Source organism: Homo sapiens, chromosome 21 (genome assembly GCF_000001405.40).
Source record: "Homo sapiens chromosome 21, GRCh38.p14 Primary Assembly".
Lineage (NCBI taxonomy): Eukaryota > Metazoa > Chordata > Mammalia > Primates > Hominidae > Homo > Homo sapiens.
The window spans coordinates 6227128-6254524 of NC_000021.9; the positions used below are offsets into that span (position 1 = coordinate 6227128).

At 38.5% G+C, this 27397-nt stretch overlaps 1 long non-coding RNA gene across 6 annotated transcripts in view; it reads right to left on the reverse strand.

Annotated features, from left to right (window-relative positions):
* Positions 1-1838: 1838 nt before the first annotated feature.
* Positions 1839-27397, reverse strand: part of LOC102724701 (uncharacterized) — a 441766-nt gene continuing 416207 nt past the window's right edge. For 2 of the 6 annotated variants that reach the window (XR_001755106.2, XR_001755107.1), the window contains exons 2-4: positions 8780-9033; positions 7856-8020; positions 1839-3824 (exon numbers count right to left, since the gene is read on the reverse strand). This is a non-coding gene — a long non-coding RNA (uncharacterized LOC102724701). Of the gene's footprint in view, positions 3825-7855; positions 8021-8779; positions 9034-24594; positions 24620-27397 lie in introns of those variants that run through there. The other 4 variants (XR_007067796.1, XR_001755109.2, XR_001755110.3 and 1 more) reach the window with 4 other exon arrangements.

A 27397-nucleotide genomic window follows, 5' to 3' on the forward strand; every position in this document is an offset into this window, starting at 1 on the left:
GGCAGTGTGCACTCTCGGTGCCCATGGTTCCAGGCCACAGTTTTTCAGATGATGGACAACAATTGCTTTTTCCTGAAGAGACTTAGTACCCTGTGGCTGAGCTTAAGCGGGACTCTAGACAGCATTGATTGCATTTTCTTCTTCCTCTACGAACTGGGATTTCTCCTTCTGTTTTTCTACTGCCTAGAGGTGAATCTGTATTTGTCAATATTTAGGTAAATCAGAGACATAAATCAGGTAAGGAACCCTAGACACTGCTTCTAGGCTAGCTGGACTCTTGCCTATTTCCCTTCTCACTTTATGAGATCAATTATATTGGCACAGGTTGATACCCTTAGATAGTGTCTCTAAGGAGCAATTAGAGAAGCATACTTCTAGAGAAGCTGGTAGGACAGGGCAGGAGGGCCAATGAGGATCAAAGTTTCTGTCCAAATTTTTGAGCCTAGGTGTGTGTGGCCGACGAATCCAGGAAAGATCCCAGATCCCTGGAAGGGATTGTTAAGAGAGGATCCATTAGATTAGAATGCTAGGGTGGGTGTTCATCCGTCGCCTTCTGAGTGGGATTTTCAGGGTTAAGACTGAGGTAGGGCTGCAGAGAAATGCTATCCTGGGAAAGCCTCTGATCGAGTGCAACATAGGTGGCTCCAGCACAAGGAGAAGTCCTCTATTTGAGGAACATTATACTTGTGTGGATGTGTCTGTGCTCTTCCTCAGCAGAGCCCCACTGACTGAATGATTGTTTGAGAATTATGAGTAAAGAGCCCTATATTATTTTGAATTTAGTAAATATTGGAAGAGAAACAAACAATATTATCTACTTTCAAATTGAATAACAGCATGAGCAACTTTCAGGAAAATGTCACAGGAGGAAACTCCAGGGCCTTGCTCATCCCTGGAAACCTTGAAAATCCTGATGCAACCTGTAGGGTTAAACTTATCAATACTTAATTTTTTGCCATATAGATTTATCTTCATAAAAAATATTTTCATTGGACCTTCATTTTGATATATGCCATGAAGAATAAATCATTTATTTCCTTTGTGATAAGAACATCACATTTTTACACCTCATGTATAAATGATGCCATCACCCATGTAGTTTTTATTGCTATGGCCTGAATGTTTATGTCCCCTTTCAAATTCATGTGTATAATTTTAGGCGTGAGGCCTTTGGGAAAGTGGTGAAGCCAAGAGTTCTTCATCTTCATGAATGGAATCAGTGCTCTTTCAAAGGAAGTTGAAGGGAATGCCCTTGTCCCATGTGCGAGATGGTACCATCTATGGGGAATAGGGCTCTCACCATATACGAAATTTGCTGCTGCCTTGATCTTGCACTTTCCAGACTCCATAACTGTGAAAAATACATTTCTCTTATTTATCCTTTACCCAGTCTAAGGTATTTTGGTATAGCAGCCAAGATGCACTATGACACTTTCTTAGACACTTTGGTTTATTTCTGAATTTTTAGTTTCAGTGATCCATGAGTTTTTTAATCAATCAAGATTTTACACAGGGCTTGCCAGTGGTTTTTTTTTTTTTCAGAGTTTTCTTGTCTATTCTTGTTTGTGTTTTCATCTATATAACATTTTATAGTAACGTGTACTTGCAATATTTAATGGTATCAGTATAGGAACAAAATTGAATTTATAAATAACTATAAGGACAATTGATGTTGATAATATTGAGTTTTTCTGCCTAAGAATATGATACAAATTGTCTATTTGCTTATGTCTACATTCATATATTTCATAAACTTTCTATGTTTTTTCCATATTCCGTAGATATTTTTGTAATATTTATTCCTAGTTTATTCTGCTAAAAAGTAATTTGAGACACAATGAAATTGCAAAGTGTTTATTTGAGTAAGAGCAATTGATAAATTATAAAATATCAGACGGAAAGATATTGAGTGCTTCATTGACAGTGTAAGAAGCAAGTATTTATTTGAAAAATGTAGAAACAAAGAAATCATTTGGTGGTAGCACAACTTTTTTTATTGTTTTTTGTTTGTCTGTTTACCTTGTTGGACAGTTTCTATTTATATAAGGTTGTTGGCTACTTCTGACTGGTTGAGCTTCATTTCTCTTTTTTCAATATGCAGCTACAAGAAATAATTTAAGTTTTGTTTGTATTTGCAAATCAAGCGAGGTTGAGATCACTTATGAGACCTAACTAATTTTGTCTGCTCAGAGATTATTGAGACATGATCTCCATTTTAATTTCCTTTAACAAATTTTCTGTACTTTTACTTTCCATCCAAACAGTAACTTATAAATTATTATTGTTGTACATATGTAGGCCCATGTTGTGTATGCTTTGAAGACCTGTCCTGCATTCAAACTCATTTGTATTATGTTATTATTGAATTTGCCCCATTTATTGGAATTATAAACTGCAATCCCCCAACTACAAGAGGTATGAGCTCTGATGAGATAAGAGTAAAGATGAATCAGAAGTGAAAACAGTCCTCCAACCCACACATGCAGTAAAAACAAATTTCACATGAATACAATGAGTAATTATCTAAAATTTAAAGTACCCTGAAAACATTAATGTTTATCTCATTATTATGTAATATGGAAATTACAAGGCAAAAAAATCCAAAGACTTACTGTTTAAATATAATTGAAGTTTTTTATATGATGAAGTGCTCCATAATTTAAATGTAAAAAGCCAATAGGAAATATATGAAATAAAATAAAATTATACGTAAAAGTGACAATGCCTCTATTAGATTTAACAGTATCTTACAATAGAATAAGTTGAAACCTACAAAATGGAAGAAAGTTTAAAATTAGGCAGATATTATCAGCCTGGTGAAGAATAAATACATATGTCAATAAGCATTTAATGTATTTTGTCTTAGATTTTACATGAAATAATAAAAAGTAAGCAAACCAATAGCATGGTAGTTTCACCCTGATTGATTCAAACTGAAAAAATATTAACATTTCTCCATGAGAAGTTGGATTCATGGATTGGCCTCATGCTGCATTCAAGGCACTTTAGCCAGGATCCAACACTCATTGCCAAGAGTCAGCAGGCTAGAAGTTTGCTTTTAAGATGTTCCCCGGCCTGCGACCAAGACGCTTTTTCCTGACTACTTCTTCAACTCTGACATAGGTTTTGCTGATATAAACGCAAACCCGGCTCTATACCTACCAAGTATCTACTTGGCTAGAGCTGCAAATGGAGCATTTAGGCACTAGGCAAGAGCTCTTCCCACGTTTCCAAGCACACTTTCTAGAATTTCCCAAAACTACTGACATTGTCTTTCAGACCCCATCTCCCAAAGAGAATCAGAGAGATGGTCTGGAAGCCATTTAGAATCTCCAGCCTCCAACCTAGTAACAATGGACTTGGATACAAAGACGCAACCTACTGACCTCAAAGACACCAGCCCAGATTCTGGGCATTGAATTCCTGCCTCCCCATGAAAGATCTCAACTGAGTCACATCAAAGCCCACACTCTTCTTCAAGGTTCACCTTCCAGACACGCTCCAAAACAGTCCCTCAGAATTGTCTTGAGATGAAACAAAAGGTGATGAAGGTCCAGGTTTGGAATGCCTGCCTCATTCTTCACTCCTGAAAAGTCTACACCTGCTGGTTAGCACTCTCATATGTTAGGGAGCCCGGGCTCTGAGTGCATCCTTTAACAGGACCTCCTGGCCTTTTCCTACTTGGAGTAGAGTGCCCAAGAATAATAGGGAATACAAGGCCTCCACTCTCACATGGCTTGATTGACTGATGAACTGATGTCGGAGGAGGAAACATATGTAGGGAACAGCCTGGGTCTTGTGAATCCGTTTCCCAGCTATGATGCCTGTGCAAATGGAGGGAGAATCGTCAAGTATTATTGGGTGGTAGACAGACACTGCCTAATAAAATTAAGTAAATGTAAGGTGACTTGAAGGGGAATTTATCATATGTCATATACAAAATTTTAGTTGGTCAACTTTATTTAAAAACAGTCACAATTTGTAAGGGCATTCAAATATAATTTTAATAGGGAGCTATGAAAATTATCTGCACTTGCTATGTAAGTGATTGAGTTAGGGGTAACTATCTGAAGGTCATGAGCTTGATATCTGCTACTTAATTTCATAAGACATTTACTTGCAAATGGTTGCCATTTTTGCTCTCACTATATGAAAATTTTTTCTTGCAAAGAGCATTCCTATGAAAGAAAAACTAGAAATTTTGCCAATTTCGGCTATTAAAACGATAAAACTGGTTTGTTTGTTATTCTTAACCAAATGCTCTTACAGATGACACATAGTACCCATGCTTTGATTGTTTTTTGTTTTTCTTTTCACCTTAGGTCAATTGCCTTTCATTTTATTTATCAAACTGTATTTACTGTAGATAGACATTGCAGTTCTCATGTGCCCTATGGATTTGTACTTTCTTAGAAGTATGAAAAAATTCTCAGGCTGAGTATATTGGCTTATGCCTGTAATCCCAGCAATTTGGGAAGCCGAAGCAGGTGGATCACCTGAGGACAGGAGTTCAAGACTAGCATGGTCAACATGGTGAAACCCCATCTCTCTACTATTCACAGTTCACATTGTACCTTGCAATGAATATACATTTTATCCAAAAAGGCTAAAAAATAATGAAATTGGGGTGGAAATGGCTGGAAGTATAGGTGAAACAAAAATGACACATGACTAGTAGCTGTTAAATCTGGGTGACTGGTCTGTTATCCTTTTTTTGTATTATGTATACGTTTTTAATGTTCTGTAATAAAACACGTGTAGAAAATGACAAAGTTTATCTACACTTAGCTCTTAAGGTCTTGGTTACCTTTGGGAAGGAGAAAGTGTCAAGGGCATGAGCAAATCTGATTCTTACATACACAAGTGTATTTATTTAGTAATAATTCATCAAGCATTCCATAAATATTTTGTTCCTATATTGCTGTATGCATGTTATTCATCAATAAATATTTAAATAGTACATATTTGCATAACAATCCTAAATTAATATTTTAGAATAATAGTAATGTTTTGTTTTGTTTTAAAGTGGGGCGTGTTCACTCAGGACATCGTCAGGTGTATATTAATGTTCCAAGATATTTATTTACGTTTTAACTTTTGGAAGAGTCCCCTAGGTCTTTTAATTTTTACCTCAGTACAGTAAGTAGCATGGTTTTAACTTTTTGGATTGCAGCTTTGTTTTCAGAAAGGTTCTCCCCGAAGAATGATGCTCACCCCGGCCAGCGCACACAGCACAGTGACCCGTGCACAGGATGCACTGAGCACACACGGCACTGGGTGAACCATGAACAGAAGGACAAGCCAGCCTGGGTCTGCAAAATATACTTTGCAGGAAAAGCAGGTAAAATTGAAAGGTCACAATTCAGCAGCAAACGTTTTTACATTCATTTGAGAAATCATTTCTAACAAAAGCTGCTCGTTAAAGCCATGGTTTTCTGGCTTGCCTACACATTGTAATCACCTGCACAACTTTCAACCGTATTTTTTTCAGATCCAGCTCCAAGGATTCTGATTTAGTTGTGCGGTTACAACTTGGGTTTAAGGGATTTTGATAGTTTTCCTCCCCGCAGGTGACTCTCTTGCGCCAGGGGTAAGAAGCGCTGGATAGGGGTGAGGGGTGCTTTAGCTGTGAGAGATAGCCATGTACGCTTCAGGATTTGCCCCATCGCATATCTGGAGTTCGGGGTCTTAGAAAATATTCTTGCCCTGTTAAAAATTAAAGGATGGCTTCAATACAAATTTAGCTATTTGGCTACGTTGCAGAAAAAGAAAATGCCTTTCCAGAGATCAGTTTTTTGAGTCAGAGTTTTGTTCTGTCAGTGAGGCTGGAGTGCAGTGGTGTGATCATGGCTCACTGCAGCCTTGACCTCCCAGGCTCAGGTGATCCTCCAGCTCCAGCCTTCTGAGTAGCTGGGACTGAAGGCATACACCAGGCATGGCTAATTTTTCAATTTTGTTGTTGTTGTTGTTGAGATGGCTTTCTCTATGCTGCCTGGGCTAGTCTCAAACTCCTTGCCTCAAATGATCCTCCCACATCAGTCTCCCAAACAGTTCAACCTACACGAACAGGCAACCATGCCTGGTGTATTTATTAAAATGTAGCTACTAGAATATTTAAAATTCACATGTGCCTCACATATTATTTCTTAGAGAATTGCCTCATTTTTGAAATCTCAGGCTGCCTGCTCTAAAACCTGGATGTGCCAGGAAAGTAAAACATCTGAAATTTTAAAACAATTGTCATTATATTGCTTCCATGTATGAATAACACATATATATTTTTCATAAATACAAATAATCTTACACACAAATGAAAATGCAAGTATTTTACAGGCAGGGCCAGTGTCCAGTGCATGAAGGAAGCCCTGCCAGAAAAGGATCCAGGAAAAACTTATAATTCTTGCTTTATTCAATCCAGTGTCAAATCACATATGTCACTCATGGCCTGAGGGGGCTTGGTGGGGAATTGAACTATATCCAATCATGGGTGCTGGAGTGGAAATTATCTAATCAGGTGCACAGCTGGAGAAGAATGGGCAGCTTTTTGGATCTAGGGATGCCTTTGCCTGTCTCTCTACTCAGAGCTCAGGACACTAGAGCCACCTCAACGCAATTGCCTGTTTTTTAGTTGTTTTAATGCTCCAAAAGAGAATTAGTTTTCTCATGCATTTTCCAAATGTGTGGCAAGAAGAGCCTCAAATCTACCACCCTGTTACCCCAGCCTAACTCTGGCTTGCTGTCAGAGTTTAAATTTCCAGTTCTTTCCTGACACTTACCAACACTAACTAACCTTGTGTAACTCACAACATTATCAACTGTTCTTTATTGTACATTTTAGACACAGTATTTTAATTCTGCATTTTTTCAAAAAGCAGTGGATGACACTTAAAAAAATATTTTTCATTTGTAAACATTTTACAGGACATGAAAGCAGATAATAATCCCCTGACAATCCACAGTAAAAAAAAAGAAAAGAAAAGAAAAGAAAATATTTGTGCCCCTTTCTTTAATCTTCCCTTGGCACAGACACCCCATCAGAATGTTTTTGGGTTGAGGTTTCATTTCAGAAACCTCACAGGGCAATACATCCTCAGCCATCTTGTGTTATTTTCTTGGTTTTGGGTTTCAAAACTGTTTGAGAATCCCCAAGATACCAACACTGGCCATGACTCTTGAAGTGTCTAGTAAATAACATCCCTTGTGTCATCTCCTCTCAGGGAACAGCCCAAGGTATGGGAATGCAGCCTCTTTTTGGAGTGGTTGGATGCACTATACCTGGAAGGAATCTCCACGTATACATTTGCGCTAAAAGCAAACCCTTTAGGACATTAAGAATTTCTTACCCCAACGCTTAGTTTCCATTCCTTAGAGACACATTGCATGCCAGGCAACTGGATGCTGAATAGTGAGGAAAAAATGTCCTCAGATTGGTGAAGGGAGAGAAAATATTTCAAAGGACAAAGAAACCCAACCTAGTGAGGCAGTGCAAAAACCTGCAAAGTAAAATGCACCTCACAGACACAGTGGAGCAGAGCGTAGCAGCTCCTGGTAGGACGCTCATGACCCACATCACTGAACCAGATAGAAGCAGGGAAAATATCCCAAGTAATAGAACGGCTTGACTTGACCCTTGGGTCAGATATGTCTGTGTTTCAATCACCATTGTCACCTTCTAATTTTGTCACCTTGAAAATATGATTGTATTTATTTTAACTTCACTTTTTCATTAACTGTAAATTATGTTTTATCAGTAGAGCTTCAAAGGTATGAGAATATTTATAAAGCACATTAAGTTGGTGAATTTTGAATAAAATTAAGTAGTAATGTATTTCATTTGTTAAAAATTGTTACTTACCTATTTCCTCAGCAGAATGAGTGTAGCATGTCTCCCAGGTCTGTTTTTTATTTGTTTGAGAGGTGATTTCAAGCAGAATCTCACAGCTTACTGTTGGAAATGCTATCAGTTGTAAAGATAGGGAAAATCTCTCTTCCACTACGGTGGTAGGAAATGAATACATATCTGCAAGCACATGAGGTAGATTAATTGTCAAATTACATAAATTTATCACATAAGTTATTCTTTTTTTCAAAAGAGAGAACTTGTGAAAGTGAATAACTCTATTCCATATGCTGCCATCTGGGTGTTTGAGGGTAATGTTAAGTTTTAGGAGCTGGGACTTTGCACCTCCTGGAAGTGTTCACATATGATTAATTGTTTACTAAATGATTTGTTTTGAACATAATTAAATTACATGTTTATTTTCTGAAAGGGATAGATACTTTGGCTTTTCTTGATGAATTATAAGATATAAGCCCCTTATAATGTTTTTATTTTATTTTATTCTGTTATTTTTTAGATGTAGTTTCACTCTTCTTGCCCAGGCTGGAGTGCAATGGCAAGACATCTGCTCACTGTAACCTCCAACTCCTGGGTTCAAGCGATTCTCCTGCCTCGGCCTCCCGAGTAGCTGGGATTACAGGCATACAACACCACACCTGGATAATTTTGTATTTTTAGCAGAGACGGGGTTTCTTCATGTTGGTCAGGCTGGTCTCAAACTCCTGATCTCAGGTCATCTGCCCGCCTAGGCCTCCCAAAATGTAGGGATTACAGGCATGAGTCACCATGCCCGGCTGTAATTTCCTCTCTTTTATATCTTAGATTTGAATAATTTTTGCTGGATTCTTCAAACATGAAGTATTTTTTGAATTGAAAACTAACTGAATGACTAACTGGTAAATAGAAGTCTTAGACCATTGACTAAAAGCTAAGGCCCACCTTGACCCTGCAAAAGAGGACCACTGAAGGCCCAGTTGATTATTCCTGGGTGTCTGCCCTGCAGGTGTCCAAGCCTACTCACACCAACCATGGAAGGAGCCTTTGTCACTGCCAGAAGATATAGAGCCTTGGTAAGCTGGAAGTTCACAGGCAGATGCAGTTGAGGTTGAGATAGAAGAAATGTTGGGAGATTCTTTTTAGAATGGAATTGTTATTGTCCTCAGACTGTTTCTAGACTTGGTCTAAGAAGTTACCTAAGAAGTATTGCAACAAAGAAAAAGTACAAATGATTAGATCTTTGAGTATCTCTAAGGTTAGGTGGAAAAGGGCCTTATTTCATAGGGAGGAGAAAACAAGTTTACAAAGAAGGTTGGAAAGGAAGCACACGATGGAGGGTAGCAAAATGCGATCCCAGATAAGATAATGTTTCACCTTGAACTCAGCCTGTTCTTAGGAGGGGTATGTATAAATAAGGGTTGTAGGTTTGCTGAAGCTGTGGGTGAGTCAAAGTTCAGGGGCTGGTTGGAAGAAGAGAAACAAGCAAAGTTTCTTTAAGAGTATGTTATTTGGACCACTGAAGACTAAATTACTGAATGGTTGTTCATTTTTAAAAATGGGAATTTGCAATCTGTGTCCATTTTTGTGATAGGTTAAAAAAACAGCAGGGAGCATCCTCAAAGTCATCAGGGGAAGCACGTTTCTCTTCACTAAGCTGTTCTTTGAGAATGCAAAGAATGGGGGAATTTCTTTAAATATAGCTATTTCCAGGATTGCCTTCACCCACAACTGTTCCTTGCCCTAGACATCTCTTCCATTTGGCTGTTTCTGAGTTATATTTTTATAATAAAGTAGTAAATATAATTACAGTTATTTGTTGAGGTTTTCTTTTTAGTAATTCTATCAAATTATTTAACTTGAAAAGGGGTTTATGCTAGTCTCAGATTTATAGGAGGTAGCTCAGAAGTGTAGATGGGCTTCAGGGATGTGTAACTCTCCTCTACAGTGAGAGGGGTGATGTGGGACTGAGCCCTGAATTTCTGGGATCTGTGTGAACTCTAAGTTGTGTCAGAATTAAATTTTGGGGCAACAAATGGGTGTTGGAGAAGCAGTGGGTTTTCAGGGAACTTTACACATTTAGGATCAAAAGTGTTGTAAGGAGAAAGACAATGTGGGGGCCTCTGCTGGAGAGAGACTCCAGGTGTCTCGGGGAAGGTAGGCTCTGCTCTGCACACAGGCTGCTACACCATGCACTGCCCTGTGGTTCCAGGCATTCTCCCATGGTAAGAAGGACCGACGACTCTGAGGGAAGAAGTTCTGAGAACAGATGCCTTCTACCCTCCTGCCAACCTGAGGCCACCACAGGTTTTTCACCCACTGAACATACACACTGCATGTTGATGTGGCCAAGCCCCTCTCAGGACAAGGCTTTGGCATCAAGATTGTTGCCCATGCTACCTTTCCTCATAGACTTTCCCACCAAAAACCCACACATGTGCCTACAAGACCCCTGGCATACGTTCTACCTCAGACACCGAATCTGCAGGGGCAACCTGGTTTTTTCACCATCCCAGGTTTCTGTGCCACCTGATCATAATCTCGTCTTCCTGCATGGACACAGAAATAAGTCAGAGTAAAGTTTCACCTGGGTCAGTATCTGTAGCATGAACCAGTCCTTCCACCAACCCTGTACTGTCTCCCAACTGTGGGTTCTTAATAGCACCTTCCCCTCTTTTACCTTTTAGTTCACCTCAAACCTTTTATTTACGTGCACTTAGTGTGTCCAAGCCACCCCTCAGTTGCCTGAATCCAGCACCTACTAAAATTCAGATGTCCAGTAGTTCAAGACCATGGGCCTAGACCATGTTTTTGCAGAAGGAAATACATATTAGAAATGAGAGGCTCTATTCTCCCATTTGAAAATTAAAAAAGATATTTTTTCTTTTCCCTTTTCTTAAACAATGTAATTTAGAGAACTTTTTTTAGTAATTTTTTGAAATGGAATCTTACTCTTTTGCTTAGTCTGAAGTGCAATGGCATAATCATAGCTCACTATAACCTTAACTTCTTGGGTTTGAGCAGTCCTCCTGCCTCAACCTCTTAATTACCTAGGACTATAGGCATGCACCTCCAGGCCTAGCTAACTTTTTATTTATTTATTTATTTATTTATTTATTTATTTATTTATTTATTTTTTCAAGACAGTGTCTTGCTCTGTGGGCCAGGCTAGAGTGTAGTGGCATGATCTTAGCTCAATGCAACCTCCGCCTCCCAAGTTCAAGCAATTCTCTTGCTTCAACCTTTTGAGTAGCTGGCATTACAGGCGCACAGCACCATGCCTGGCTAATTTTTTATTGTTATTATTTTTAGGAGAGAAAGGGTTTCACCATTTTGGCCAGGCTGGTCTCGAACCCCTGACCTCATTATCCACCTGCCTCCGACTCCCAAAGTGCTGGTATTACAAGCGTGAACCACCATGTCCAGCCATATTTATTTTATTTATTTTTTTATGGTGACAGAATTTCACCATGTTGCCTGTACTGGACTCAAACATTTGGCTTCAAGAGATCCTCCTGCCTTGGCCTCCCCAAATGTTGGGATTACAGGCATGAACAGCCGTGCCTGGCCTGGAAAACTTTTATATGTATCTTTTTTTCTCTGCTTCTTTGAAATATAAGCAAATCATTTTAACAGCTAAATAAGCCTTTTGCCACTCTTCATGACACAGAATTGTCTTTGTCTAAGACCTGGAAACTATTGTTTTGTTTTTTAATTTGGCAAAGATTTATTGATTTTTTATTTTCAGTCTTTTGAAGTAGGCACAGCTCAGTACAGTGGCTCATGTTTTTAATCCCAGTGCTTTGGGAGGCTGAGATGAGAGAATTGCTTGGGCCCAGGAGTTTGAGACCAGCCTGGGCAGCCTAATGAGTCTCCTTCTTTATAAAAAATTAAAATCAACTAGCAGGGCATGGTGGCACAGGAGGCTGAGGTGAGAGAATCATTTGAGCCCAAGAGTTTGAAGCTGCAATGAGCCATGATCACAGCACTCTACCACAGTACTCCAGCTTGGGTAACAGACGGAGACCTGTCTCTAAATAAATAAGTAAATAAAAAAAAGTGTTTTTCCATACATAAAAATAAGTAAATAAACAGATAAATAAAATAGACATGGATTTGCTGAGAATAAAGCTAATTACAAGATAACAGAAAAGTGAGAACCAAAGATGGGGTTCACCCTAGCAAATGATTCCAGCCTATTAGAACACTCAGAATTTTCCCTGCAGCATGACCGACATGAAAGTAGAATGTCATCATGTCAGGCTGTACCAGCGTCGGGAGACTAAACACTGTGGGGAAGAACCTCCCTTATGGAATATTATCAACAGGTGAGAGCCCAGCTCCTGCCCTGATGGGCTACAGAAATGAGTTCCTGAGATAACACATTGCAGAAACATGCATAGAGTAGTTTAACCTTTTTTGTGTGTAACCCTTTCTCCATTTTCCTGCGAAATCCTCCCTAGTAATAGTGTTAGCTTTTAAGTTTTGAGGGTCCGATAGGACTGAAGCTGCATGCTGCAGGAGATACGTGGGGCCGGAAACTAACACAAACTGCAGCCACAGGCATAAATACTCATGGCCTAATGTAAAGTGAAAACTATACAAAATTCTTTACCGTTATTCGCACAAGTGTGTGAAGAGAGACTTTCCACATAACCAACTTGCCACTGAGACTAGTGAAGGCCAGATTCCACTGGAACAAGGCTATGAGTTACTCATGGGAAGGCCGTAGGACAAAGCCCAGAGATTTTTCATATTTGAGTCTGGGTCCTGTTTCTTTCCCTGTCTTCTCAGCTTTCTGTCTGTAGAGACCCCTATGTGGCTGCTCTCAGCACAGCCCAGTGCTGGCTGTGTTTGCTGGTTTAGTGCACCTGCTCTTTTTCCAAAAAGAGGGAGGAGTTGGCCACATTAAACTGAATGATGAAGCTCCTCATCAATCTGAATGCAGCTTTGTAAATGTGCCTAGAAACCACGCAAAGAAAAGTCTGTGTTCTTCCTTGCTTTGACCGTATGTGACACCTCCATTAGAAATTCTGCTTTTCTCTGCACTCCAGCCTGGGTAACAGAGTGAGACTTCATGATAAATAAAAAAGAAAGAGAGAGAGAAGGAAAGAAAGAAAGAGAGAGATGGAAAGAAAGAAAGAGAAAGAAAAAAAAAAGAAAGAAGAAAGAAAGAAAGAGAAAGAAAAGAAAAGAGAAAAGAAGAAAGGAAAAAAGAAAAGAAGAAAGGAAAAAAGAAAAAAGAAAATAAAAGAAATTCTTCTCTTCAGATTAGGCACATAAGGAGAATCTGTATAAATCTCCATGAAGGAAGGAAACCAGAGGACAAGTTAAAGTCTTGGAATTCACATCTGAGTACACAGACTCGTTCTCCAACCCTCTTCTTTTTATTCTGCCAGCTATGGCCTAGGTATGAACATGACAGGTACACAAGAGTTCCAACACCCGACAATCTACTTCAGTCCAAGAAGAGTGCCCTCCCTCTTGCTCCCCATCCAACTCATGGTACTAAGAAGTGGTGTGGGACTGCCCAGATGAGTTGACAAGAGAGGCTGGCGTGGAGGGGCCTGTCCTGGGCTGCCCTGTGTTATTTGTAGGTGCACCCGGCCAAAAGCCAGGGACATCAGTGATGAGGGCTCAGTTGACATCTGTGTTATCAGATAAGACTTTTACATTGAGCCTTTGTAAGGCTGAAACTCAGAAATTTCAGGGCACAATGAAAGAGCATCTCACTCTCTTGAGCAACTCTCACAAACAGAGGTGGATACAGAGCTGTCTCAAGAATGTGGATTCCTGGTTTCTTAACTGCTGTTGGGTTCTGACACCAAGAAAGTATGTTAAACTCTTCAAGGTTCCATCTACTGGGCCCCATGTTTCTGTAAGACATACCGAAAGGCCCCACTATGCTACTGATTGCTCAGTCTCCTCTTCCATGTCAACTCTTTATTTGTACACAATTATGCAAACACAACTTCCCCTTAATTCCCTGGAAAGACCTAAATGCAACCTGGGTTCCAGGATAGAAGAGACAGCTGGAACATAACCTTGTTTTTCTTACCATCTCTGGGACCCAGTAAAAGTCACTGTATTCAAGGCTTCCCCAGCCTCCTAACATGCACACTGGTGATGATGCTAACATCTACTTCCTAGGGAATGTATTAGGTGTATATAAGATAAGACATAAAAATAATGATGTAGTGTCACCTGTAGATAATGCATACACTTAGAGATGGAAGCATTAGGAGAATAGGTGGGAGGTAGCATGGGCCACAACTCAAACAGGCCTGGTGTCTGCCAGGGTGATCTTGGAAATATCACTTCTCCACTGGGCCTCATTTTCATTCTGCTCCAGTATGAAGTTGAAATTAAATGTAGATACTGTCCTCTGGCATTCATATAGTTTAGCTGTGCGTCCCCACCCAAAACTCATTGTGTATTATAACCCCTAGGTGTTAAGGGAAAACCTGAGGGGAGATGATTGGATTATGGGGACGGGTTCTCCTCATGCTGTTCTTGTGATAGTGAGTTCTCACGAGATCTGATAGTTTCATAAGCATCTGGTACATCCCATGCTCTCACTCACTTCACTTGTCAGCCACTGTAATTGGAAGGTTTCTGAGGTGCCCCCACAATTATGTGGAAATGTGAGTCAATTAAACTTCTTTACTTTATAAGTTACCCAGTCTCAGGTACTCCATCATTGCAGTATGAGAATGATCTAATACAGGAATTCAACTTTCTAGTGCTTTCTCTTTATATTTAGAATCATATCCATGTGCCTTATCACGTCTATGACAGAGGAAGTCTTCACAAAGTCTCCCAGTACTAGGTATTGAGTGACTCAGTTTTTTATTGAATAAAATGGAATACTTCCTGATGCCAGTACTATGGCCCTTCGGTTTTGAGGAAAATATCATCTTGTATGTTGGCTAACAAGGAGATAGGAGTTCAAATCAAATTTGTTTTGTCATACTGGCTTTAAGGCAGTGATTAGAAAAGGCCTAATAGGTGGGTTCTGTAGGGGATTGCTGGAAGGAAAGTAGGAATATGGAAAGTCATGAGACATATACAGTCATCTCTTCTTGTTTCCTCACAGGTCACATACAAATTCAGGGAGAGTTAGTATGAAGCACACAATGGAAATTTGGGCTCCAAAGTCTGCAAAGTGATGCTTCATGGACTTCAGTTGGCAATATTGGTTCCAACAATTTCAGCCAATGTTTAAAAAACTTATAGCAGTTAAATTTTTAGTGTTTCAACAAGCCGTTTCCTATCTTTCATTCTGAAGATCCATTTTTTAAGTCTTTTTTTTTAACAGTATAGGGGGTACAAATTCAGCTTCTCTCCAATGAAACACAGAAAAGGATATCACTTTTGTATTAGTTCAGGCTGCTATGCCAAAGAACCATAGATAGGCAGCATATAGACAACAGGACTTAATTTCTCATACCTCCAGAGGTTCAAATTTGAGATCAGGGTGTCAGCATGGTTGAGATCTGGTGATGACTGGCTTCTGAATTTCAGCCTGCACACTTCAGGTTTTACCCTCATTTTGCAGGAGGATGAGAGCCCTCTGCGGTTTCTTGTATAAAGCCAGTAATCTGTATTATGAGGGTCCCACCCTAAGGGTTTAATTACATTCTACCTCCTTATAGCATTACGCCCGGGGTTACAATTTTAACACAAATATAGAAGAAAAATTATAGTAACTCTCAAGTTTTTTTTCTTTCTTTCTTTCTTTCTTTTTTTTTTTTTTTTTTTTTTTTTTTGAGACACAGTTTCACTCTTGTATCCCAGGCTGGAGTGCAGTGGTGTGATCTCGGCTTATTGGAACCTTTGCCTCCCAGGTTCAATTGATTCTCCTGCCTCAGTCTCCCAAGTAGCTGGGATTACAGGCATGCGCCACCACATCTAGCTCATTTTGTATTTTTAGAAGAGACGGTGGTTTCACCATGTTGTCCAGGTTGGTTTCAAACCCTTGACCTCAGGCGATCCACACGTCTCAGCATCCCAAAGTGCTGGGATTACAGGTGTGAGCCACCGCACCCTGTCAAGATGTTTTTAAAGCTCTAATTTTTCTCCTACTGGGTTTTTCTCGTTTGCGCCCTCGATCTTTCTGTCTCTTTTTGTGTAAACCTTTTTGTCTAATTCTGTCTATTGTATTCCTCAAACACAGGAAGCAAGCTCCAATGCTATGAGATGCTCCATGTAGAGACCCACATAACAAAGGGTGAGAGGGTGCTCAGACGAGTAGAGAGAAGGAAAGTCAGGCTCTCCAGCCACACTAAACCCTGTCAATTTTCACATGAGTCAGCTTAAAGGCTCATGCTTTCCCAGTCCAGCTTCAGTTAAGACCACAGCCCCCAGTCTCATAAAAGACCTGAAGGCAGAGGTAGCCAGCTGAGCTGTGTCCAGATTCTGGTCCACACACATTATGAGATATTATATGTTGTTGAAAAGTGCTGACTTTTAGGGCAATGTTGTCAGAAAGGAGCAGATATCTAACCTCATCTCCCAGGCCCTAGGATTCTCCATCCCTCTGCTTATCTCTTTCTCAGGCTGTCTGCAGCCAAACTAGTCCCTTTTTACCTCTGCCAAACTCACACCTATGAGTTTTTTCACTAAGGGTGGCTTCTCCCTGACACATGCTTGTGCAGATGCCTCCCTGCTGTCATCCTCATCATGGATTAAAAGTCACCTCAGTGAGGCCTGAGGTCCTCCCATGCAATAATTTTCCAGGTTTTCTTCTCAATAATCTACTTTATATTATAGTCCTTGCTCTTTTCTTTCACATATACTTGCTTTAGTGCTTTTGTCCAGCGGTCCTCAGATTGTTTGGTCCTGGGTTGGGGGGTGCAGACATGAAGTAATAATTTTCTGTACCACATGTTGGACCCACCAGGGTCGCTGGCAAATGGTGAGCGCAAGGGAAAAAAGACTGGCTAAGTGATTATATGGGGGATCCCTAATATCCCTTCCCCTTTTGACCACCTGATAATGTGGACATCACTGATAACAACATGAGGTGTGTGACTGTTACTTGTTCCAGCTGCTCCAGCAAAGCTCAGTGGGCACCAGAAACACAGTAGGCTGTAACCACCTCCTGGCCATCACTAACCCTACAGCCCCAAGCAGGAGCACTACTGAACAAATCTGATACCTTGATTTTTCTGTCCTCAAGACACTGGTTCTTCAAGGTCCTAGGGGATAAAGTAGCAGGATCTGAAGGCCCCAAGTATAATGAGTGAACTAGGAATCCCGTTTTGCCCTCTCTTTGCCTCCACCTTTTTGGTTGTGCTATTTACTCATGAGGTATCCTCCCCTTATCCAGTGAAATTATTTTCTACCACTTTCAAATGAGGACCTTAAGAACGCAACAGTAGCTGAGATTTTCCGTGGACCTCAGCCTCAGAGTCCAGTGCTCTGGCACATTTAACTCTGTCTCATCTTCATCTACCCAAGATGCCTCTCAAGTGGCCATGCCTCCCTCTGATTTGAAGGATCTGCAGAGTGGGTGCATTTTTGCAGTCTCAGAGCAAGAATCCAGGCTGGCAGACACTTATGAGTATGTGAAATCATCAAGGTCACCCACTTCAGGCACCCCTATTTATGAGGAAGAAAACAAGCTTTCCTGTAGGCACTGTCTACATTAGGCTGAGGTGGAGCATAGCTCATTTTACTTCCAGTTGCCCTCAGAGCTGGATGCAGAACCCCAGTCCTGTTATCTTGAAACTGACATGGAGAGGACCCCATGTGAACAGAACCCTGAATCTGCTCATTTTCTGTGCTCCTGAATGTGTAGCTACAGACTCTAATTTCGAAAACAAACCTGATAAGTGGGACGGTGCCAAGGCCTAGGAAGCTGGAGCCCTCTCTAATGCTCTGGAGCCTGCCCACCTCCTGAGATCTGGACCAGTCTCTGCCTCTTCTGGGGCCTCAGTTTCCCAATTGTAATGTAATGAGAAATTAAATGTAAAACTGCATAAACATATGCTCTGTGAGAATTTGGTGTCAGAGTTCTCAATACTGGATGATAATTTGGAGTGGGGTGGGTTTGGGACCCATGGGTTCTCAGGCCTCCTTTCACACCCAGTGCAGTAGGTGTAGAGCTCTGGACAGCCAGGTGTTCTTTCCTGAGCCAGCTGATTACAACACAATGGACCAAGGGCTCTGATCTTAAATATGGTTTCACAGGATACCCCACCTTCAGCCACCACCTGCTCTGTGCTTCCCATATTTTGGGGAGCTGATGACAAACCCCATTATAGTGAAGAAGAACAAGAAACTAGACTTGTGGGCCTGGGGAAAAGAAAAAAACACTTCTATTTCTCCCAAACTGTAGAATCTCTTGTCAAATATTTAATTTTGATTATATCTGAGCTTGATAATACATTCATGTGTTAACAGCTGCTTAAATTTATTTTTTCTGTGAAGTGTGGGATAATGTCTTTGCCGTATTTTAAATCAAATTCTAAAAGCTCTCTTTAGAGTGGATAAGTGAGCATCTTTGTAATATAAACTTCACATATTTGTTGCCAGTTTGTTCTTTTTGTTTTTGTTAAAATGTTTTGTTTTATTCTGATTTGGATGTCTTTTGGCGTTTTGCTTTGTGGCTATTTATTATGACAGTGTAACTTCTCCTCTAATTGACTGACGGTTTGTACATTCTCAATAAAATATTTTCATAAAATCTTTGTAAAAATTGTGTAGTCAATTTTACATTACATAAACATAAAACAGTAAAGACTATCACGATGAAAAAGGAAGATTGAGGGCTTAAAAAGTAAAATACGACACAGCTAAAGTAGTCTGAAAGGGAAATTTACAGCACTAAATCCCCACAAGAGAAAGCAGAAAAATGTCTAAAATCGACACCGTAACATCACAATTAAAAAAACTAGGGAAGCAAGAGCAAACAAATTCAAAAACTAGCAGAAGACAAGATTTAAGATCAGAGCAGAACTGAAGGAGATAGAGACACAAAAAGCCCGTCCAAAAAATCAATGAATCCAGGAGCTGGTTTTTTTAAAAGATCAAGAAAATAAATAAACTTCTAGCCAGACTAATAAGGAAGAAAAGAATCAAATACATGCAATAGGAAATGATAAAGGGGATATAACCGTTGATCCCACAGAAATAAAAAGTATCATTACAGAATATTATAAATACCTCTTTGCAAATTAACTAGAAAATCTAGATGAAATGGATAAATTCCTGGACACATATACCCTCCCAAGTGCAAACCAGTAGGAAGTCGAATCCTTGAATAGGCCAATAACAAGTTCTAAAATTGAGGCAGTAATTAGTAGCCTACCAACAAAAAGAAGTCCAGGACCAGACGGATTCACAGCCGAATTCTACCAAAGGTACAAAGAGGAGCTGGTACCATTCCTTCTGAAATTATTTCAAACAATAGAAAAAGAGGTACTCCTCCCTAATTCATTTTATGTGGCCAGCATCATCCTGAAACCAAAACCTGGCAAAGACACACCAGAAAAAGAAAATTTCAGGCCCATATCCCTGATGAATATCGATGCGAAAATCCTCAATAAAATACTGGCAAACCGAATCCAGCAGCACATCAAAAAGCTTATCCACCACGATCTAGTCAGCTTAATCCCTGGGATACAAAGCTGGTTCAACATATGCAAATCAATAAATAAAATCCATCACATAAACAGAACTAATGACAAAAACCACATGATTATCTCAATAGATGCAAAAAAGGCCTTCAATAAAATTCCACACCTCTTCATGGTAAAAACTCTCAATGAATTATGTATTGATGGAACCTATCTCAACATAATAAGAGTTATTTATGACAAATGCACAGCTAATATCATACTGAATGGGCAAAAACTGGAAGCATTCCCTTTGAAAACCTGCACAAGACAAGAACACCCTTTCTCCCCACTCCTATTCATTATAGTATTGGAAGTTCTGGCAATCAGCAAAAGAAAGAAAGAAATAAAGCGTATTCAGATAGGAAGAGAAGAAGTCAAATTGTCTTTGTTTGCAGATGACATGATTGTATATCTAGAAAACCCTACCATCTCAGCCCAAAATTTCCTTAAACTGATAAGCAACTTCAGCAAAGTCTCAGGATACAAAATCAATGTTCAAAAATCACAAGCATTCCTATACGCAATAATAGGCAAACAGAGAGCCAAATCATGTGTTAACTCTCATTCACAATTGCTACAAAGGGAATAAAATACCTAGGAATCCAACTTAAAAATGATGTAAAGGACCACTTCAAGGAGAACTACAAACCACTGCTCAAGGAAATGAAAGAGGACACAAACAAACGAAAACAATCCATGCTCATGGATAGGAAGAATCAATATTATGAAAATGGCCATATTGCCCAAAGTAATTTATAAATTCATTGCTATCCCCATCAAGCTCCCATTGACTTTCTTCACAGAATTAGAAAAAAAACTACTTCAAATTTCATATGGAATCAAAAAAGGTCTTGCATAGACAAGACAATACTAAGCAAAAAGAACAAAGGTGGAGGCATCATGCTAGCTGTCTTCAAACTATACTAAAAGGCCACAGTAACCAAGACAGGATGGTACTCGTACCAAAACAGATATATTGACAAATGGAACAGAACAGAGGCCTCAGAAATAACACTCAACATCTAGAATCATCTGATCTTTGATGAACCTGACAAAAACAAGTAATGGGGAAAGGATTCCCTATTTAATAAATGGTGTTGGAAAACTAGCTAGCCATATGCAAAAAACTGAAACTGGACTTCTTCCTTACTCGTTATACAAAACATAACTGAAGATGGATTAAAGACTTAAACATAAGACTTAAAACCATAAAAACCCCAGAAGAAAACCAAGGCAGTACCATTCAGGACATAGGCATGGGCAAAGACTTCATGACTACAACACCAAAAACAATGGCAACAAAAGCCAAAATTGACAAACGAGATATAATTAAACTAAAGAGCTTCTGCACAACAAAAAAAACTATATCAGAGTGAACAGGCAACCTAAAGAATGGGAGAAAATTTCTGCAATCTATCCGTCTGACAATGGGCTGATATGTAGAATCTACAAAGAACTTAAACAAATTTACAAGAAAAAAAGAAACAACAACATCGAAAATGGGCAAAGGATTTGAACAGACACTTCTCAAAAGGAGACATTTATGCAGCCAATAAACAAATGAAGAAAAGGACATCATCACTGGTTATTAGACACATGCAAATCAAAAACACAATGAGAAACCATCCCACACCTGTTAGAATGGTGATCATTAAAAAAATCAGGAAACAACAAAGGATGTGGAAAAATAGGAAGACTTATACACTGTTGGTGAGAGTGTAAATTAGTTCAACCAGTGTGGAAGACAGTGTGGTGATTCCTCAAGGATCCACAATGAGAAATACCATTTGACCCAGCAATCACATTACTGGGTATATACCCAAAGGATTATAAATTATTCTATTATAAAGATACATGCATACGTATGTTTATTATGGCACTGTTCACAAGAGCAAAAACTTTGAAACAAACCAAATGACCATCAATGATAGACTGAATAAAGAAAACTTGGCATGTCCACATCATGGAATACGATGCAGTCATAAAAAGGATGAGTTCATGTCCTTTGCAGGGACATGGATGAAGCTGGAAACCACCATTCTCAGCAAACTAACACAAGAGTAGAAAAGCTAACATCGCATGTTCTCACTCATAATAGGGAGTTAAACAAAGAGAACACACGGACACAGGAAGGGGAACATCACACACTGGAGCCTGTCGGGAAGTGGGGGACTATGGGAGGGATAGCATTAGAAGAAATATTCCTGGCCTAGGCCACTATTGCGATTTTCTAAATTTTGTTTCAAAAACATGATATGTTTCAAAAATTGTTATTGGTATGTAATTATATAAATATATAGTTCAGAAAAAAGAATCAACATTAATTATGCTTTTTCCAAAATACTTTATGGTTTTGAGCTCTTCTAGCAGTGACATTTTTGCTGTAGGTAATTGCTGTGTATCTGGTATATTCATCATAGCATACTTTGTGCCGTTTACACTTATCCTTCAATTTCCCACTCTCCTAAGTGTAAAAGTTCAAGGCCAGAGCTCCCATATCTTCCCAATATTACTTTTTGAAAAGAAGCTTCTATGTACTGTTTTCTCTGGGTCTTGATTGGATATATTGCTAAAAGAGCTGAAAAATAATAATTTTTTTAAAAATTCGGTGATGAGATTAAAGTAAATATATTTTATAAATCTAATGTACAAAATGAGGTCAGCTGAGAAGACAATGACAGTTGAAGCAGAACCTGAGATCCTGTTTCTCTCCATTGACATATGAACTTAACTACAATTGGGCGAACAAAGCCAGTTGAGTTTGTAGCACCCCACATGAGAAAAAAGCCAACCATAACCACATTTAGAAGAAAATTTGGTCACATTTGTGCACTACAGAACAGCGCAGTTAGATAAAAATCTGTCCATTCCATGATTCTCCTTTGGGAAAGAAAAAAGAGTGAAATGCGTATGCAAACTTCTGACTTACTGAGTTATACCGGGGTTATCTAAAGACTGGAAATTGCTTCCTTTAACATTTAGTGTTGATGAGAATAGAGACTGAGTTTAAATGACAGCTTGGGTCAACTGAGAATAAAGATAAATGCTTCTTACAACAACAGAGACTGTAGTGCCTACAACAGTGACGAAGGGAAGAGACTAAAGGCTCCTAAGAGGAAACAGAGGTAAACCTTATTAACAAGAAAATACATACAGTAGTCCAAAGAAGACACATTTTGACAACAGATTGGAGAAGCTCCCAGTATGACTACTGTGGCTGAATGTTGTCAATTTTCCCATGTATAAAGCTCTTTCATAAAGGATAAAATAGGTAGTGGTTTCTTAATTGATCAAAACCTTAACAAAACTACAGTAAGTAAAAGCAACCAGGAAATATAACCTAATCAAAGGAGAAAAATATATATTCAAGTGAACCTAAAGAAGTGGAGATCTAGGAATTATTTTTTTAACTTAAAATCTTTTTATTTTTCTTTACTTTTTCATTTTATGCAGAGGATCTTACTTTATCTCCTGGGACAGAGTACACTGGTGGAATCACAGCTCACTGTAACCTCAAATTTCGGAAGTCAAGCAGTCATGCCACCTATGTCTCCTGAGTAAATATGACCACAGTTGTGCACATTACCCCTCCTGTATAGTTTCTTTAAAAAAATTTGTACAAACAGTATGTTGCTGTGTTGCCTCGGCTGGTCTCAAACTCCTGGTCTCAGGCAATCCGACTGCTTCAGTCTGAAAGTGCTGGCACAAGCTACCATACCTGGAATTGTTTCTCTTTTAAGAAAAAATAGCTTTAAATCATTAATAGTAAAATAAAACAAAGAAAGGTATTGCGTAACGATAAAGGGTTCAATTCAACAAGAAGACTTAACTATCGTAAATGTAGATGCACCCAACTTTGGGGAACATAGAGTTATACAACAATTACTGCTAGAACTACAATAAGCCTCAAGTAGACACACAATAATAGTAGGGGAATGCAACTCCCCACTAAGTGTTTGACAGATTATCTAGGCAGAAACTTAACAAAGAAATTCTGGAGTTTGATTCGACACTTGATCAATTGAAACTAATAGACATTTATAGTATATGCAACACATCATCTAAAGAAAGTAAATTCTTCTCATCTGCTCACAGAATATGACAGGCCACAATGGAACAAAGATAAAAATCAATACCAAGAAAATCTCACAAAATCACAGAATGATATTGAAATTAAACAACTTGCTCCTGAATGAATTTTGGATAAACAAAAAAATTAAGGCAGAAAATTAAAAAGATTTTGAAATAGAAGAGACACAATATAACAAAATGTCTGGGTTGTAGGAAGAGCTCTGTTAAGAGGAAAGTTGAGAGTGCTAAATACCTGCATCAAGAAGTTAGAATGATCTCAAACTAACAATTTAACATCACACTTAGAGAAACTAGAAAAATAAAAACTAACTTACCCCAAAGCTAGCAGAATGGCAAAAATATTCATAACCTATGAACCTGACAAAATCTAATACTCAGAATCTATAAGAAACTTAAAGAATTCACAAGGAAAAAATTACCCCATGAAAAAGTGGGCAATAACAGACACTCTTCAAAAGAACACATACAAGTGGCCAAATAACATGAAAAAAGCTTATCATCACTAACCATCAAGGAAATGTAAATAAAAACCACAATAAGACACCATTGTACACCAGTTAGAATGGTTTTTGTTAAAAAGTAAAATGATAATAGATGTTGATGGGGTTTTAGAGGGAAAAAACCACTTATACACTGTTAATAGGAATGTAAATTAGTTCAGCCACTGTGGAGAACAGCTTGGAGATTTTCCAAATAACTGAGAGTTAAACTGTGATTCAACCCAGCAATTTCACCGCTGGGTATATACCCAAAAGAGAATAAACTATTCTACCAAAATAGCACATGCACTTGTTGGTTCATCACTACACTATTCATAAGAGGAAGGACCTGAATCAACCTACGTGCCTATTCATGGTAATTTTTTATTTTTTTGAGATGACGTCTCACTCTGTTGCCCAGGCTGGAGTGCAGTGGCACGATCTCAGCTCACTACAATCTCCACCTCCCAGGTTCAAGCAATTCTCCTTCCTCAGCCACCCGAGTAGCTGGGACTATAGGCGCATGCCACCAAGCCTGGCTAACTTTTGTATTTCCAGTACATACGGGGTTTCATTACGTTGTCCAGGATGGTCTCGATCTCCTGACCTCATGATCCACCCGCCTTGGCCTCCCACAGCACTGGGATTACAGGCATCAGCCACCATGTCCAGCCTATTGATGGTAAATTGAATTTAAAAAGTGTCACATGTACAGCAATACTACTTAGCAAAAACAAACAAAAAAAACCTCCTTTGCAGCAACGTTAACACAACTAAAGGCCATTATACAAAGCAAATTAATGCAGAAATGGAAAATGAAAATACTGCATATTCTCACTTATAAATGGAAATTAACACTGGGTACACATGGACAGAAAAACAAAAATAATAGACAACTCTTAGAGGGTGGAGAGAGGGAGGGACCAAGAACTGAAAAACTGTCTACTTAGTACTATGCTCACTACCTGATTGATGGAATTACTCATACTTCAAACCTCAGCATTATACAAAATACCCATGTAAAAAACCTGTGTAGGTACCTCCTAAATCTAAAATAAATTTGAAATTCTAAAAAGAGGTCTTACTCTCTCACCCAGACAGGAATACAATACGATGATTATAGCTCAATGCAGCCTCAAGTTCCTGGGGAACTCAAGGAATAATCTTACGTCAGCCTCCAACTTCCTGAGACTACAGGAACATTCCACAATGCCTGAGTAATCTGTGAAAATATTTTTTACCAATAGCTTGTCACAATATTGCCCGGGGTAGTGTCGAACTCCTGGATTTAAGTAATTGACAGGGTTTGGCTCTGTGTCCCCAATCAAATCTCATCTTAAATTGTAATAATCCCCACATGTCCTGGGAGGGACCCTGTGGGAGGTAATATTTTTATCAAAATATCAATGACATTTTTTCACAGAAATAGAAAAAATATTTTAAATTTATGTGGATCCACAAAAAACTCTGAATAGACAAATAACTTTGAGCAAAATAAGCAAAGCTAAAGGCATCACTTTATCAAACTTCAAAACTTGCTACAAAGCTATAGTAACCAAAAGAGCACTGTACTGGCATAAAAACAAACACATAGACTAATGTGCCCAAGAAGCCCAGAAGTTAGTTTATGCACCTAAAGCCAACTGATTGTCAACAAAATTGCCAAGAACACACTTTAGGGAAAAGCTAATTTCTTCAATAAATGATGCAGGGCCATTTAAATATTTAAATTCAGAAAAATTATACTAGACCCCTGTGCCTTGCCATATATGAAAATCAATTCAAACTAAAGACTTAAATGTAATGCTATCAATTATGAAACTATTAGAGAAAAACTAAAAAATGCTTTATAACATTCGACGGGGAAAGGATTATTAAAATAACATGTCAAAACATAGGCAACAAAATCAAAAATAAGCAAACAACATTATGTCAAACTAAAATGCTTTTCCATATTAAAAAAACTAAAAGATTGAAGAGACAGCTTAGGCAATAAAAGAAAATGCTTTCAGGCTATACATATGACAAAAGGCTAATATTCAGAATAAATAAGAAACTTTAAAATCTCAAAATAAAATACACTTATAATCTAATTAAAAAAATGCAAAAGATCTTAATAGATGTTTGTCAAAAAGTGATACAAAAATGGCTAACTGGAACATAAAAATATGTTCTACATTACTAATCACTAAGGAAATGAAAATCCAAACCACAATGAGGTACCGCCTCACTCCCATTTAGAATGGCTATAATAAAAATAAATAAATAAATAAAACAAGTACTAATGAGGATATAAAATGAGTGAATGTATACATTGTTGGTGGAATTGTAAATTAGTATGGCCACTATAGAAAATACTATGGAGGTTTCTGAAAGAAATTAAAAATAGATGTATTACATGATCCAGCAATTTTACTCCTGCATGTATATACAAAAGAAAGGATATCACTGTGTCAAAAAGATATTTGCATTTCCATGTTAGTTACAGAACTAGTTATAATAGCTTATATATGGAATCAATTCAAATGTACAGCAACAGATAAATGGATAAGGAAAATGTACTATATATGCACAGTGAAATACTATTCAGCTATAAGAAAGGATAAAATTCTGTCAGTTAAAAGAGCATGGATGAACCTTGAGCATACCATGTTAAGTAAAATAAGCCACATAGAGAAACACAAATACTTTATGATCTTATTATCTCACTCATTTGAGGAACCTGAAAAAAAGGGTTGATATAAGCAAAGAGTACAACAGGGGTTCCCAGAGACTGAAGCAGGGAGATGGGAAAAGGCAGCTTCAAAAGTATTGTGTTACAATTAGATAGGAGAAATAAGTTTTTGTTTTTTGTTACACAGCAGAATAATAATAATTAATGAAAAGTTATCTCAAATTACAAAATAGCTAAAAGAGACCAGTTGTGGTGGCACATTCCTGCCATCCATACATTTTGGGAGAATGAGGTAGGAGAATCACTTGATGTCAGAAGTTCAAGATGAGCCTGGACAACATAGTGTGACCCTGTCTCTATGAAAAATTAAAACATTATCCAGGCATGGAGGCAGGTTCCTGTAGTCTCAGCTAATTGGGAAGCTGAGGTTAGAAGATTGTTTGAGGTTACAGTGAGCTAGGATTGCACCACTGCACTCCAATCTGTGTGTTAGAGCAAGATCCTGTCTCTAAAAAAAGTTAATATATAAAGATATAAAAAAATAGCTAGAGAAGAAGCTTTTGAATGTTCTCACCACAAAAATAACAAATGTATGAGGCAATAATTACACTAAGTACTCTGATTTTTATTGCTATACAACATATATACATAATTGTTTCCCCAAAATTTGTACAATTACATGTGTCAATTTTAA